Here is a 13,791-nt window from a genome sequence, read left to right as displayed (position 1 = left end):
TAATCTAGGTATTAGTTACACAAAATGTTTGTTCATTTTGTAAAATGATTTGTGCTCTTCTGTATGTTATACTTCAGTAAAAACAACGTTTTTCTAAGTTCCATATCAAAACACACCATAGTGAAATTTATGGGGATAGAGAGGAGATGCAAAAAGCTTTGGTTGTGGCTGGGTGACGGTGGGGAGATAAAAGGATCAAGACAGAATAACTTAAGACTTCTTAAAAGTATTACTGGGAACTAAACAAAAAAGGAGAAATGCCTGTAACATTCTAAGGGGAAATTATGTCCAAACTGTCAATCAACTGAGAAGGTAAAATAAAGACATTTCATAAAACATAGTCTCAAAAAATTTTCTGCCTGTGCATCCTTTCTCAGGAAGTTTCTAGAAGACATCACAAATATACGAACAGGGAAGACAGAGGACCCATGGAACGGAGAAGAAGGGAAGAGAATTTCCAAAATGATGGTTGGAAGCAGCTGTAGAGCTGCGGGCTTGGAGATGAATCCAGGCCCTGTGGAGCAGGATCGAGGATGCTGCCAAGAAGTCAGTAGCCCAAGTGGTACGAGAGGAGTTTTAAAGTTCTGTTGGAGAGTATGGTGACAAATAGCGATAGGAACCTAGAAAGCTAAGCAAATGGAAACAAAAAAGATAATTACTAGCTACCGGAAAACAAAAAGATGTCAAGAAAGGAAATGCAATGAGGGTCCACTACAGTGAACAATATTTACACAGTTGTTGAATAATATGAATGTTAATTTAATTTTTAGGCCGGGCATGGTGGCTCACGCCTGTAATCCCAGCACTTTGGGAGGCTGAGGTGGGCAGATCACCTGAGGTCAGGAGTTCGAGACCAGCCTGGCCAACATGGTGAAAGCCTGTCTCCACTAAAAATACAAAAATTAGCCGGGTGTGGTGGCATGTGCCTATAGTCCCAGCTACTCTCAAGGCTGAAGCAGGAGAATCACTTGAACCCAGGAGACAGAGCTTGCAGTGAGCCGAGATCGCACCACTGCACTCCAGTTCAAAAACAAAATTAGTTTTTAAAAATATACATATTGGGAAATTAGGAGAGGAGAAGGGGGAAAGTACATTGCATTGTGAAGCAAAAGTTAAAAAAAAAGTCTGAATCCTAATACCCTATGATAGGAAGTCAATATTATGTTTTATATACTATGCATATATGTTGTTTTGATAATTTTAAAAACACTATGAGGAGAAAAATAATTGGTTAATCTGCAACACAGAATTGTTTATTGCAGTAACTTCTATTTAATTTGAGAAAATAAAACATTTTTCTATCCCTTCTGAAGGAAACCTTTAAGTACACTTTAATTTTTTATCTAGTTCTGTAGTGTACACGGTAAGAAAATCAAATTTAAAATATGCTTCCATTTTCTGAATTACGTTATTGGTAATAATTACAAAAATGGACTTAGATTACTTGAGTGTGTTGCTTAGCTTTTGCCTATATTCCTGTCTTAATCGTGAGCAGAAAATAGGTTTATTTTTGTTTCAGTTTTTGTTTTGAGACAGAGTTTTGCTCTTGTCACCAGGCTGGAGTGCAGTGGCACAATCTCAACTCCCTGCAACCTCTGCCTCCTGGGTTCAAGTGATTCTCCTGCCTCAGCCTCCCAAGTAGCTGGGATAACAGGCATGTGGCACCACGCCTGGCTAATTTTTGTATTTTTAGTAGAGATGTGGTTTCGCCATGTTGGCCAGGCTGGTTTCGAACTCCTGACCTTAGGTGATCTGCCCTCCTCAGCTTCCCAAAGTGCTGGGATTACAGGCGTGAGTCCCTGTGCCCTGCAGGTTTTTTAAAAGTGCACATTAATTCAAATAAGTGGAATGGTAAGATACAATAAGCATGGTATCTTTGCAGTTTTCCTGCTGAAGCAATTAATCCTAGAAACTTCCAGAATTTCAAATGGTAAAGAGAAGCATGGAGGAAAAGATGTTCACCTTTTTTGTGAGTTACTAGTATCAATCATCTTTCCAGCTTAGAGAAAGTAGCAATACATACATATGCAAACACAGTTTTTTCCCCAAAATATTGAATTTCAGAAGTTCTCAATCATTCTCATGAAAACTATTTTTGTTGTTTCCAAATCTTGGCAAGAAACTTGAGAATGAACTAAGCAAACACTGAAGTTCCCTCCTTTTCAAAGTACTGGCAAAGCACAGCTTCGGATGAACTCCATCAAGTGCTGCTGGCTGGCTTGTCAAGACAGAGGCTACAATTCTGTGATAGGGCAGAAAGAGAAAGGCTGAGTGGGGAAGGTTGTACAGAGGACCCTCCTTATCCAAAGATTCATTATGAGAGTCCCTGCAGAAAAGATTAACAAATAATCTAATACCGACTTGTGAAATTAGTCCTCATTCAAGCATCTCTTGCCTCTTAGCATCTGTAAGTCATTGAACAGTCTCTCCAGTGCTGTATACATTAAAGCACAGCAAATGGATAGCACAGTGAAAATGCTAATCTAGAAGGTGGAAAATGTCACGGAGCCTCTGAAAGTGATGTTAGAAAACAGCTTGAACTGGCTGGGCATGGTGGCTCAAACCTGTAATCCTAGCACTTTGGGAGGCCAGGGCGGGCAGATCACCTGAGGCCAGGAGTTCAAGACCAGCCTAGCCAACATGGTGAAACCCCATCTCTACTAAAAGTACAAAAGTTAACTGATGTGGTGGCACATGCCCATAATCCCAGCTGCTCGGGAGGCTGAGGCAGGAGAATAGTTTGAACCTGGAGGCGGAGGTTGCAATGAGCAAAGATGGTGTCAAAAAAAAAAAAAAAAAAAAGCAGCTTGAACCATAGGCTAGAGTTAAACTAATTAACAACATAGAAAAAAAGAGTAAGATAAGGATGATAACATAATAGGTGCTTCCAAAAAGAATGACAAGAATATTTAAAAATTTAAGGGCAGTCCTTGGAAAGTTGACAAGGCTCTCCTTAAATATGTGTGGGGAAAAAAAAATGACCATTTTAATGATCAAGCTATACAAGTCCAACGTGAAGGGTATTATATTGTGCTCGCATCCATTTTTGTAGAGCAGAGCTTTCGCCCAAAGAAGGGAGCCATGGGAGGCTAAAGTGAGAGACGAGACTGAGTTTGGCCTGGGCCGTGGAGTGTGACTGAACTGGCTGAGTGAGCAGGGGAAATGGGACCAGCTCAGGAAGGAACTTGAATCAGAATGAGGAATTTGGACGGTCATCTTTTTCACATGTTCACCAACCTAGGGAGATAAAGATAGTCTTAGGGCCAGGCGCGGTGGCTCACGCATATAATCCCAGCACTTTGGGAGGCAGGCAGATCACCTGAGGTTGGGAGTTCAAGACCAGCCTTACCAACATGGAGAAACCCTGTCTCCACTAAAAATACAAAATTAGCCGGGTGTGGTGGTGCATGCCTGTAATCCCAGCTACTTGGGAGGCTAAGGCAGGAGAATTGCTTGAACCTGGGAGGCGGAGGTTGCGGTGAGCCGAGATCACACCATTGCACTCCAGCCCGGGCAACAAGAGCGAAACTCCATCTTAAAAAAAAAAAAAAAGATAGTCTTTACCAGGATTTACTACAGAATTTTCAAATTGGGGATTTTTTTTTAAATTATGTAAGGGAAAAATTTACAATACATTGCAATTAGCTAATAGAATTATTATTTTATGACACTTCTGTTTTAGTTTTATACATGTGTATACCTGTGTCACAAGGCAAATATTGGTCTTACTGAGAGTCATGTAATCCAAAATTTGGGCCGGGCACAGTGGCTCACACCTGTAATCCTAGAACTTCAGGAGGCCGAGGCCGGTGGATCACTCGAGGTCAGGAGTTTGAGATCAGCCTGGCTAACATGGTGAAATCCCGTCTCCACTAAAAATACAAAAGTTAGCCAGGCCTGGTGGCACACACCTGTAATCCCAGCTACTTGGGAGGCTAAGGCAGGAGAATCACTTGAACCCAGGAGGTGAAGGTTGCAATGACCCAAGATCACACCTCTGCACTCTGGCCTGGGTGACAGAGTGAGACTCTGTCTCAAAAACAACAAAAAACAAAGTTTGAAAGACACTGATATAGAGGAAGCGTTATGGTTCTGTTATAGATGAGAACTCCAGAAGCCCTAACTGAGCCACATTGGAGAACAGCACCAGACTGTGAAGTCTCTGGGCTGTGGTTTCACAAATGTCCCCAGGCTCCAATCCCAGTGCCTCCCTGCATGGTACATTGGCTCCAGGGCCCTTTGCTTGGCCCCACTGCCCACTGCTGCTGAATCCTTCTGTCTCCCCTGCTGCATGTGAATCTGGGTCTCATGGTGGAAAAAATACGTGTTTTGGGCTCAGCTGGACCTGGGTGTGAAGCTTAGTTCAGCCCCTTACTTTACAGGTGAAGTTATGAAGCTATTGTGATACTCTATTGCCTCTTTTGTAAAAGTGGGGGAAATAACACCTATTTCATAGGGTTGTAATGAGGATTTAAAGAATATATGTCACCTCCAATCAAGCTGTATTCTACTTCTAGGAGCTCATCTGTGGAAGTACTCATGTGCACAGATTCACATGCATGGATGGTTGATTGCAGTCTTATAAAACCAAACATCTGGAAGGAGATTAAAAAGCTAATAAGGGGCAGGCATGGTGGCTCACCCCTGTAATCCCAGCCGAGGCAGGTGGATCACTTGAGGTCAGGAGTTTGAGACCAGCCTAGCTAACATGGCGAAACCCCATCTCTACTAAAAACATAAAAATTAGCTGGGCATGATGGTGCATGCCTGTAGTCCCAGCTACTCAGGAGGTTGAGGCAGGAGAATCACTTGAATCTGGCAGGCAGAGGTTGCAGTGAGCTGAGATTGCGCCACTGCACTCCACCCTGGGCGACAGAGTGAGACTCCGTCTCAAAAAACATATATAAAAAATAAAGGATTGATTTATTTTTAATTATGACATAGCAATATAATGGAATACTATGGAGCTATTTAAAAGAATGAAGTATACCTAGGTCTACTTATATGGAAAGATATCTGCGTCACTGCTTAGTGGAAAAAAAACAAGTTGCAAAATCCTGACCCCATTTTTTTTTTTTTTTTTTGAGACAGAGTCTTGCTCTGTCGCCCAGGCTGGAGTACAGTGGTGAGATCTCAGCTCACGGCAACCTCCGCCTCCCGGGTTCAAGCGATTCTCCTGCCTCAGCCTCCTGAGTAGCTGGGATTACAGGTGCACACCACCATGCCGGCTAATTTTTGTACTTTTAGTAGAGACGGGTTTCACCATGTTGATCAGGCTGGTGTCGAACTCCTTACCTTGTGATCTGCTCGCCTCGGCCTCCCAAAGTGCTGGGATTACAGGTGTGAGCCACTGCGCCTGGCCTGATTTTTTAAAAATACATAGATTATGGACATGCATAAAGAAATCTATAATACCATAAACGTGGCTATCTTTGGGAAGTAGAATTATGAAGGACTTTAGATTTCTGTTTTGTAAAATGTTTTATTTATTATTTATTTTATTTATTATTTATTTATTTATTTTGAGACAGTCTTGCCCTATTGCCCAGGCTGGAGTGCAATGGTGAGATCTCGGCTCACTGCAACCTACACCTCCTGGGTTCAAGCCATTCTCCTGCTTCAGCCTCCCGAGTAGTTGGGATTACAGGTGCCCACCACCACGCCCAGCTAATTTTTGTATTTTTAGTAGTAGAGTTTCACCATGTTGGTCAAGCTGGTCTTGAACTCCTGACCTCAGGTGATCCGCCCACCTCGGCCTCCCAAAGTGCTGGGATTACAGGCGTGAGCCACCGCACCAGCTGTAAAATATTTTACAATGAGCATGTGTGACTTTCATATTCAGGAAAAAAATTTCGCTGAAAACACACACACACACACACACACACACACACACACACACACACACACACGTATATGTTACCTAGCATAGCAGTTCCGAGTAGTTAGTGGTTGTTATGAGAGTTCCACTTCCAGCGTGGGTGCGCTACATCTTTAAATATTCCTGTAGCAATGAATAGCCACTGTGCCTAGGGTTTCTGTGTGAATACATACCCTCTTTTTTTATTCTTGATAGATTCATTATTTCAGTTGAGGCCTTGTTCTCTTTTCTTTCATTAGCTTTAATCAGCAGGCTCGGGGCACCTGTCACAGGGGATGCCATCATTCATTTTAATTTTTAAAATTATAGTAGCAATTTAAGCTCATCCTAAACATGAAAAACAAATCTGCAGTTAGTAAAGTAAAACCTTAAAGTCATCAATTTCACCATGCCTTTCAGTCCCACTACCCAAAGATGGCAGTGGTTCAGTGTATGGTCTTCACAGCTTCTGTGCATATGCAAATGTGTGTGTGCACTTGTTTTTTATTTGTCTTTTGAGACAGGGTCTCACTCTTGCCCGGTCTGGAGTGCAGTGGCACAATATCAGCTCACTGCAGCCTCGACCTTCTGGCCTCAGGTGACCTTCTCACCTCAGCCTTCTGAGTAGCTGGGACTACAAACATGTGCCACCACACCCAGCTAATTTTTGTATTTTTTGTAGAGACAGGATTTCGTTATGTTGGCCAGGCTGGTCTTGAACTCCTGGGCTCAAGCAATCTGCCTGCCTCCACCTCCCAAAGTGCTAGGATTACAGGCATGAGCCACCATGCCCAGCTTGCATTTGTGTTCTTGTTGCACCAATAAGATCATGAAGCATATAAAAAAAGTCTTTCCACAACAGAGATTTATATATACTATGTCTTTTTTAAGAACTGCATAATATTCTACTTTGTAGATGTAATTTATTTCACCATTCCCTTATTGACAGAATTTTCACTATTGTTAGCAGAGCTACAAAAATACTTTTACCTATATATTTGCACACTTCAGTGAGCAGATCTGTAAGATAAATTCCTACAGGGGAACTAGTATTGGTCAAAGGGTATCCATGTGGATAATTGTTATCATGTTGCACTGACTTACATTCCCAGCAGTACATGTATGAGTTCCTTTTCCCCTACACACTTTTACCTGCACAAGTTGAGTATTCTTTACACAAAATGCTCAGGACCAGACATGTTTCAGACTTCAGATATTTTAGGATTTTGGAATATTTGCATATACATAATGAGATATCGTGGGCATGGGACCCAAATCTAAACATGAAATTCATTGATGTTTCATATACACTCTATACAGGTAGCCTGAAGGTAATTTTATGCAACATTCTTAGTAATTTTTGTGACCCATCACAAGAAGTCAGGTGTTTTAGAAATTTTAGAAAATTTTGGATTTTGGGTTTTCAGATGAGGGATGCTCAACTGTATTGTGTATTATATATTATTGTCTTATTATTGCTTTTATTTGTTATTATTTTTAAATCTTTGGTAATTCAGTATGTGAAATAATGGGTGTCATTGTTGAATTTGAATTTTTTTCATCAGACTGAAGACATCATTTCTTTATTGCCACCATCCATTTGGAAATGTTATGCACATTCTGCAAATCCAATTGGAAGTCTGGCCTAGAGTTTGGTTAGATGGTGGCAGGGAAATAATATGCTTAGAAACGTGGTCCTGGATAGAATGTTGAGGAAAAGCAGAGAGAGAAGATGTGTGTGGGAGACAGATTGGATAGTGGCATATTTTTTTGCATAGAAATCTGTTAGCTGTATGGCTGCTGTTTCAGCATCCCTGAATCCGCCTGGCTGAAATGGGCCATCTATCTATTCACCTTTGTTCACAACGATAGAAATCGTGTCCAATATTCTCTATGTGCTTTTTCTCACTGAAATCTGGCATCATAATGACTCAGCATCTGGAGGAGCCAATACAAGTGAATCAAGTTTGCGTTCATCACCCAGCAGTGCCTCGTATGCCTAAGGGATTTCATGGAACTTCATTTCAAAATCATAGTTTGAAATGGTCATGTTTCAAACAACTATAAAGAAACTTTAAAATGTGGCAAAATGTGGACAGGGCCTTAAATGTAGGAAGAATGTTCAGATAACTTTGCAAACAGCTTTTTGGTGATAGCTCAGTTACTTCTTGCCTCATTAGTTGTCCTTGGTTCATAGGACATCCGTGACCCAGCATAAGTCAATGATAAAGTTTGTTCCAATACACATTATTTCTCCCTTTCAGAATGAGTGGCCTTGGCAGATGTGAAACCTCTCTGAGCAGGTAATGTCCCTAAAGGGGGCACGCAGAGAGACTGTGCAGGGTCACATTGTGATGGAGATGTGGGTAAAGAAACTCACAGACACCATTGCCTTTTCCATCATTTAGGATGTCTTTACTGCTTTCTTCATTTCACCATCCAGAAATACCGAATTATAAAGGATGTGATTCTTTCTGACTACCCAAGACATCCAAAATTCAATCTTTTTTTTTTTTTTTTTTTTTTTTTTTTTGAGACGCAGTCTCGCCCTGTCGCCCAGGCTGGAGTGCAGTGGCGCGATCTCGGCTCACTGCAAGCTCCGCCTCCCGGGTTCACACCATTCTCCTGCCTCAGCCTACCAAGGAGCTGGGACTAGAGGCGCCCGCCACCACGCCTGGCTAATTTTTTTGTGTTTTTAGTAGAGACGGGGTTTCACCGTGTTAGCCAGGATGGTCTCGATCTCCTGACCTCGTGATCAGCCCACCTCGGTCTCCCAAAGTGCTGGGATTACAGGAGTGAGCCACCGCGCCCGGCCCCAAAATTCAATCTTATGCAAACTTCAGTTGAGGATGTTTCCCCTGATTCTTTCGCAGCTTCCACATCCCAGTAGTTCTCCGTTTTTAACTTATCAGCTGTTCTCTATGGATGTCATGCCTTGAGATGTTATCTTCCAAACACACAGCATACACAACTAACTCATTGTTTCTCTTTTTAGAAAATTAAGCAAATATGTATATAACTGCATATGCGGGCGTCTGGTCAACCAGAGGCAACAAACGTGACCTCACAAGTTTGTGTAAACTCAGTCAAAAGCAAGGGAGCGCAATACGGTAGTCCTTTTATGGGTTAATATGATCTCACCCTCCCCCCACCACAGTAGTGATCTTTCTGTTCCTCAAAAGGGAAGGGCCCTGGGCTGGGAACCCCTTCAGTTATCCCTTCTGAATGGTACAAATCTCCTTCATCCCATCCCTCTGATGGTCCCAGTTGGTTGTGGTTGGCCATGAAAGAAGGTAAATGGCTCAAGATCACTGCACCTCATTCCCCACCTGAAAAAAGACATTTCATATTTACATTTTGCTGGCGATGGGAGCCCTGAGTCAAAACCTGTACGTAGAAAACAGCCCAGGAGACGGGTTGCCTGGTCACTGGCGCTGCAGCACACCGAGTTCCCTGCTCTGGGTCAGGTTGTTAAGACCGCATGAGGATGCGCTGCTGTAAAAGTGCCTGCTTTTTCCAATTTAGGTTCACCAGAGTGCATAAATCCACTGACAGCTCTCTTCAAACAGTTGTTCTCAACTTTAAATAAAATTTTGAAATAACACCTGGTTTGCCTTTTTAAAATTTCAATTTTAAAAGAGACAGGGCAGCAGGAGGGTATAGATTAGGGGGCTATGGAAGGCATTCTACTATGGGGGGAAGAGCACACATCTTTCAGAGTTTGACTTTGAACCTTGACTTCACTAAACATTTGGCTATATGACCTTGGGAAGGTTATTTTTAAGCTTTGATTCCCTTCTCTGGGAGCAGGAATAAGACTCCTTTGGAGTCTTGTGGACATTTATGAATAATAACTTCAGCACAGCATAGGGCTGGGTGTGGGGTCAGGGCTGAGTAAAGGTGAGCTTGCCCATCTCCTCTCCATCTCTTTTTGTGTCACACTGTATCGGCGCCTTCTGTTTCTGCAGTTAAGGGCAGTGCTGGATGTCGTGGTGATGCTGACCCTGAGGAAGTGACAGCCCACTTTCTCAGGGGAAGTGGTGGCATAGACACAGGCAATCATATGTCATTCATAGAAGCAAGTCCCCAGCCACTGTGGACCACCGACATCTGAGGAAGGTGGGAAGAGGCTCAGAGGTAGGAGCTACCACCCCAACTCAGGCGTTACTCACCGAGCTACATGGCAGTCTCAGGGTGGGGACAAAGGTCAGGGGGCCCACCATCCCGAGAGGTTCCTTCCTTGGTGAGCTGACAGGCCAGCTTCTCCCTGAAGTTTCTTACAACTGAAGTTTCAGTTCTGGCAAACAGACTACGGACCTAAGTCCTAGGCCCAGCAACTGCCTTCCCAGGCAGGTCCCATTCCATTTTTGAGATCACTGCTCCTTCTCAGCTTTCTCGCCCGCCTCCCTGGAGAGAGAAGGTTCAGCACCGGATGCACAGCCGCTGCGGCCCCTGCTCTGTGAGGACTCTTGAGCCTCTAGCGGGGAATGACCCATGCTACTTGTTAAAAGGCGGGCTCGGCCCCTCCGGGCTCCTCCTGGCCAAGGAGCCTGCGTAGCTGCAGGATGTAAAGCCAAAGGCCATCAGAAGGATGTGTGGAAAACACTGCGGTTAGGAATGAGCAGACATTCCTAATGGAGCACGGACCTCAGGCTGATTGTGATCTGAGACAAAACAGTGCCAAGTGCTGCTAAATCATTAGAACACTTGTGGATAACAGCAAGAGAAATAAAGACACACAGACTCTCTCACAGGAAGGCTCTGTGGTATGGAGAGGAGCTTTGGCGACAGAGGGCAGAGGCCCCTTTCTGGTTGTCTTGGGACAAGTCATTTAGTGATGGTGGAGCTAGGGCTCGTGGTGGCAGGCTTGCTGTCTCCCCATATCAAGGTCTTGCTGTGTGCCAAGCACTGTCAGGTTCCTCGTAGACGTCATGTCCCAATAGCCCTATGAGGCAGGCACTGTGATTATAGCAATTTGATTTTAATTTTTTTTAGGTTATCTGGTGAGGTTGCAGATCTCTCTGGATGAAGAATCTCAGACTCAGAGGTGAAATGATATGCAGGCAGAACCAGTCTCACTGTTCTCTGTCTTAATGTCTCTCAGCCTTCATTTATCATCTGCAAAATGGGAATAAAAAATACAATCTCATAGAGTTAGAGAAATAATGAATAATTCACAAGTCTGTGGTATATAATATGTGTTTGGGCCAGGCGTAGTGGCTTGCGCCTATAAACCCAGCACTTTGGGAGGCCGAGGCAGGCGCATCACTTGAGGTCAGGAGTTTGAGACCAGCCTGGCCAACATGGTGAAACCCCATCTCTACTAAAAATAGAAAAATGAGCCAGACATGGTGGTGCATGCCTGTAATCCCAGCTACTCAGGAGACTGAGGCGTGAGAATCACTTGAACCTGGAAGGTGGTGGTTGCATTGAGCCAATATCATGCTACTGCCTTCCAGCCTGGGCATCAGAGCAAGACCCTGTCTCAAAAAAAAGAAATAAAAGTTGTTAGATGTGGGTTATTTAATGTTGCATATTGCCTTCCAATTTTAAAAAAAATTGCCAGGCTGAGCACAGTGGCTCATGCCTATAATCCCAACACTTTGGGAGGCCAAAGCGGACAGATCGCTTGAGCTCAGAAGCTCCAGACCAGCCTGGGCAACATGACGAAACCCCCATTATATGGTTAGGCTTTGTGTCCCCCCACAATCTCATCTTGAATTGTAATCCCCACCTGTCAAGGGAGAGACCAGATGGAGGTAATTGAATCACAGGGGCCATTTCCCCATGCTGTTCTTATGGTAGCGAGTGAGTTCCCGTGAGACCTGATGGTTTTTTTTTTTATGTTAATAATGGAGTTTAATATTTTGTTTCTGTGCAATCTTATGAAATACAACTTGTTTTATAAGAATTTTCAACAAAGTATTAGTTTCCTTTTGCAAAAAGTTATTAGTTTGCCATTTAGTAGCTTTTAAGTATGTTGAATTTTTTTACATAATTAAGAACCTCAATATTCTTGTTATCAAAAACATTTAGTGAGTACCTCCATGTGCAAAACAACTGGGCTAAAGAGTCATAGGACAGAGCCCTACTGTCAAGGATCTTTGAGTCTGTCTTGAGAGATACTTTATTCTTTCATCTCTTCCTTTGCTGTGGTTCACATCTGATGTCACAAAAACCAGTGGGGGTTGGGAGTACGCCAAAGAACAAGAATACTGAGACATTTTGCTGCAATATTTTGTGCATCCCTAAAGGCCATTTCTAAATAACAACAATGGTGATGACAACAAAATTACACCTGTCATTTATCAGGAACATACAATGTCAAAGCACTGTGCTGAATGATCATTTATCTTTAAATGATCAGATGCTTTCAATGATCATCCAGTTCTTCCACCTACTCTCTGAGGTTTCTATTCTTATTTTTGCCATTTTATACATGGAGTCTGAGCTTAGAGAGATTAAGAAACTTCTATTATTTTAATAGTTAGCAGAGTTCGGATTTAAACTCAATCCTGTTAGACTTCAAAGCCATATTTGTAACCATTTTACTATGCCGATTTGTTCTGTCTGGCCTACAAATAAGAATGTATTTGTTTGTTTAATACTTATTTGTTGGATATCTACTATGTGATAAAAAAACAACGCATATATAACCACAGGCAAGGTTCCAATTAAGAAATAAATCTTAGGAGGGGCCTGTGGTGAAATACAATGTGACCAAATCTTTATATATCTTTTCAAGTGTATAAACTGCAGATGGTTACAGACATAAATATTGGTAACTTCATATACCAGTTTCAGTTAGCCAAGTCTGTTGAAGAATTTCACCAAATTATTATTATTATTATTATTATTATTTATTTTATTTTATTTTTGAGACAGAGTCTTGCTCTTGTCACCCAGGCTGGAGTGCAATGGCACGATCTTGGTTCACTGCAACCTCTGCCTCCTGGGTTCAAATGATTCTCCTGCCTCAGCCTCCCAAGTAGCTGGGATTACAGGCACCTGATGGTGGTTTTATAAGTGTTTGGTAGTTCCTCCTGCATTCATTCCCTCTCCTGCCGCCTTGTAAAGAAGGTGCCTTGCTTCCCCTTCACCGTCCACCACGATTGTAAGTTTCCTGAAGTCTTCCTAGCCGTGCTCAACTGTGAGTCGATTAAACCTCTTTCCACCCAGTCTCAGGCAGTTCTTCTTTTTTTTCTTTTTTTTTTTTTTTTTTTTAATATACTTTAAGCTCTGGGATACATGTGCAGAACGTGCAGGTTTTATTAATAGGTATACATGTGCTATGGTGGTTTGCTGCACCCATCAACCCATCATCTACATTAGGTATTTGTCCTAATGCTCTCCCTCCCCTTGCTCCCCACCCCTTGACAGGCCCTGGTGTGTGATGTTCCCCTCCCTGTGTCCATGTGTTCTCATTGTTCAACTCCCCCTTACGAGTGAGAGCATGTGGTGTTTGGTTTTCTGTTCCTGTGTTAGTTTGCTGAGAATGATGGTTTCCAGCTTCATCCATGTCCCTGCAAAGGACATGAACTAATCCTTTTTTATGGCTGCATAGTATTCCATGGTGTATATGTGTCCAGCAGTTCTTTATAGCAGTGTGAAAATGGACTAATACACCCCCTCTCTACAAAAGATACAAAAAAAACAGTGGGGGAATGGTGGCACTCTCCTGTAGTCCCAACTACATAGGAAGCTGAAGCAGGAAGATTGCTTGAGTCTGGGAGATTGGGGTTGCAGTGAGCCAAGATGGCACCACTGCACTCCAGCCTGGGCAATAGAGTGAGGCCCCATCTCAAACAAACAAAAAAAAAGGGCCCAACAAAAACAAATGCCAAATGAAGCACCAGATGGTACAAGTAGCAGCTGCTGTAAGCAAGATGAGGGGATAGGCTGAGCATGGCTTACGTGTGAAAAGGACACTGGTT

The 13,791-nt window shown here is 42.8% G+C and overlaps 1 protein-coding gene across 2 annotated transcripts in view; it reads left to right on the top strand.

The window, feature by feature from the left end:
- Positions 1–13,791, top strand: part of HMGB1 (high mobility group box 1) — a 160,894-nt gene that overhangs the window by 80,179 nt on the left and 66,924 nt on the right.

Source organism: Homo sapiens, chromosome 13 (assembly GCF_000001405.40).
Source record: "Homo sapiens chromosome 13, GRCh38.p14 Primary Assembly".
NCBI lineage: Eukaryota > Metazoa > Chordata > Mammalia > Primates > Hominidae > Homo > Homo sapiens.
Note: the sequence above shows the minus strand (reverse complement) of the source record. Positions and strands in the feature narration are given on the sequence as shown.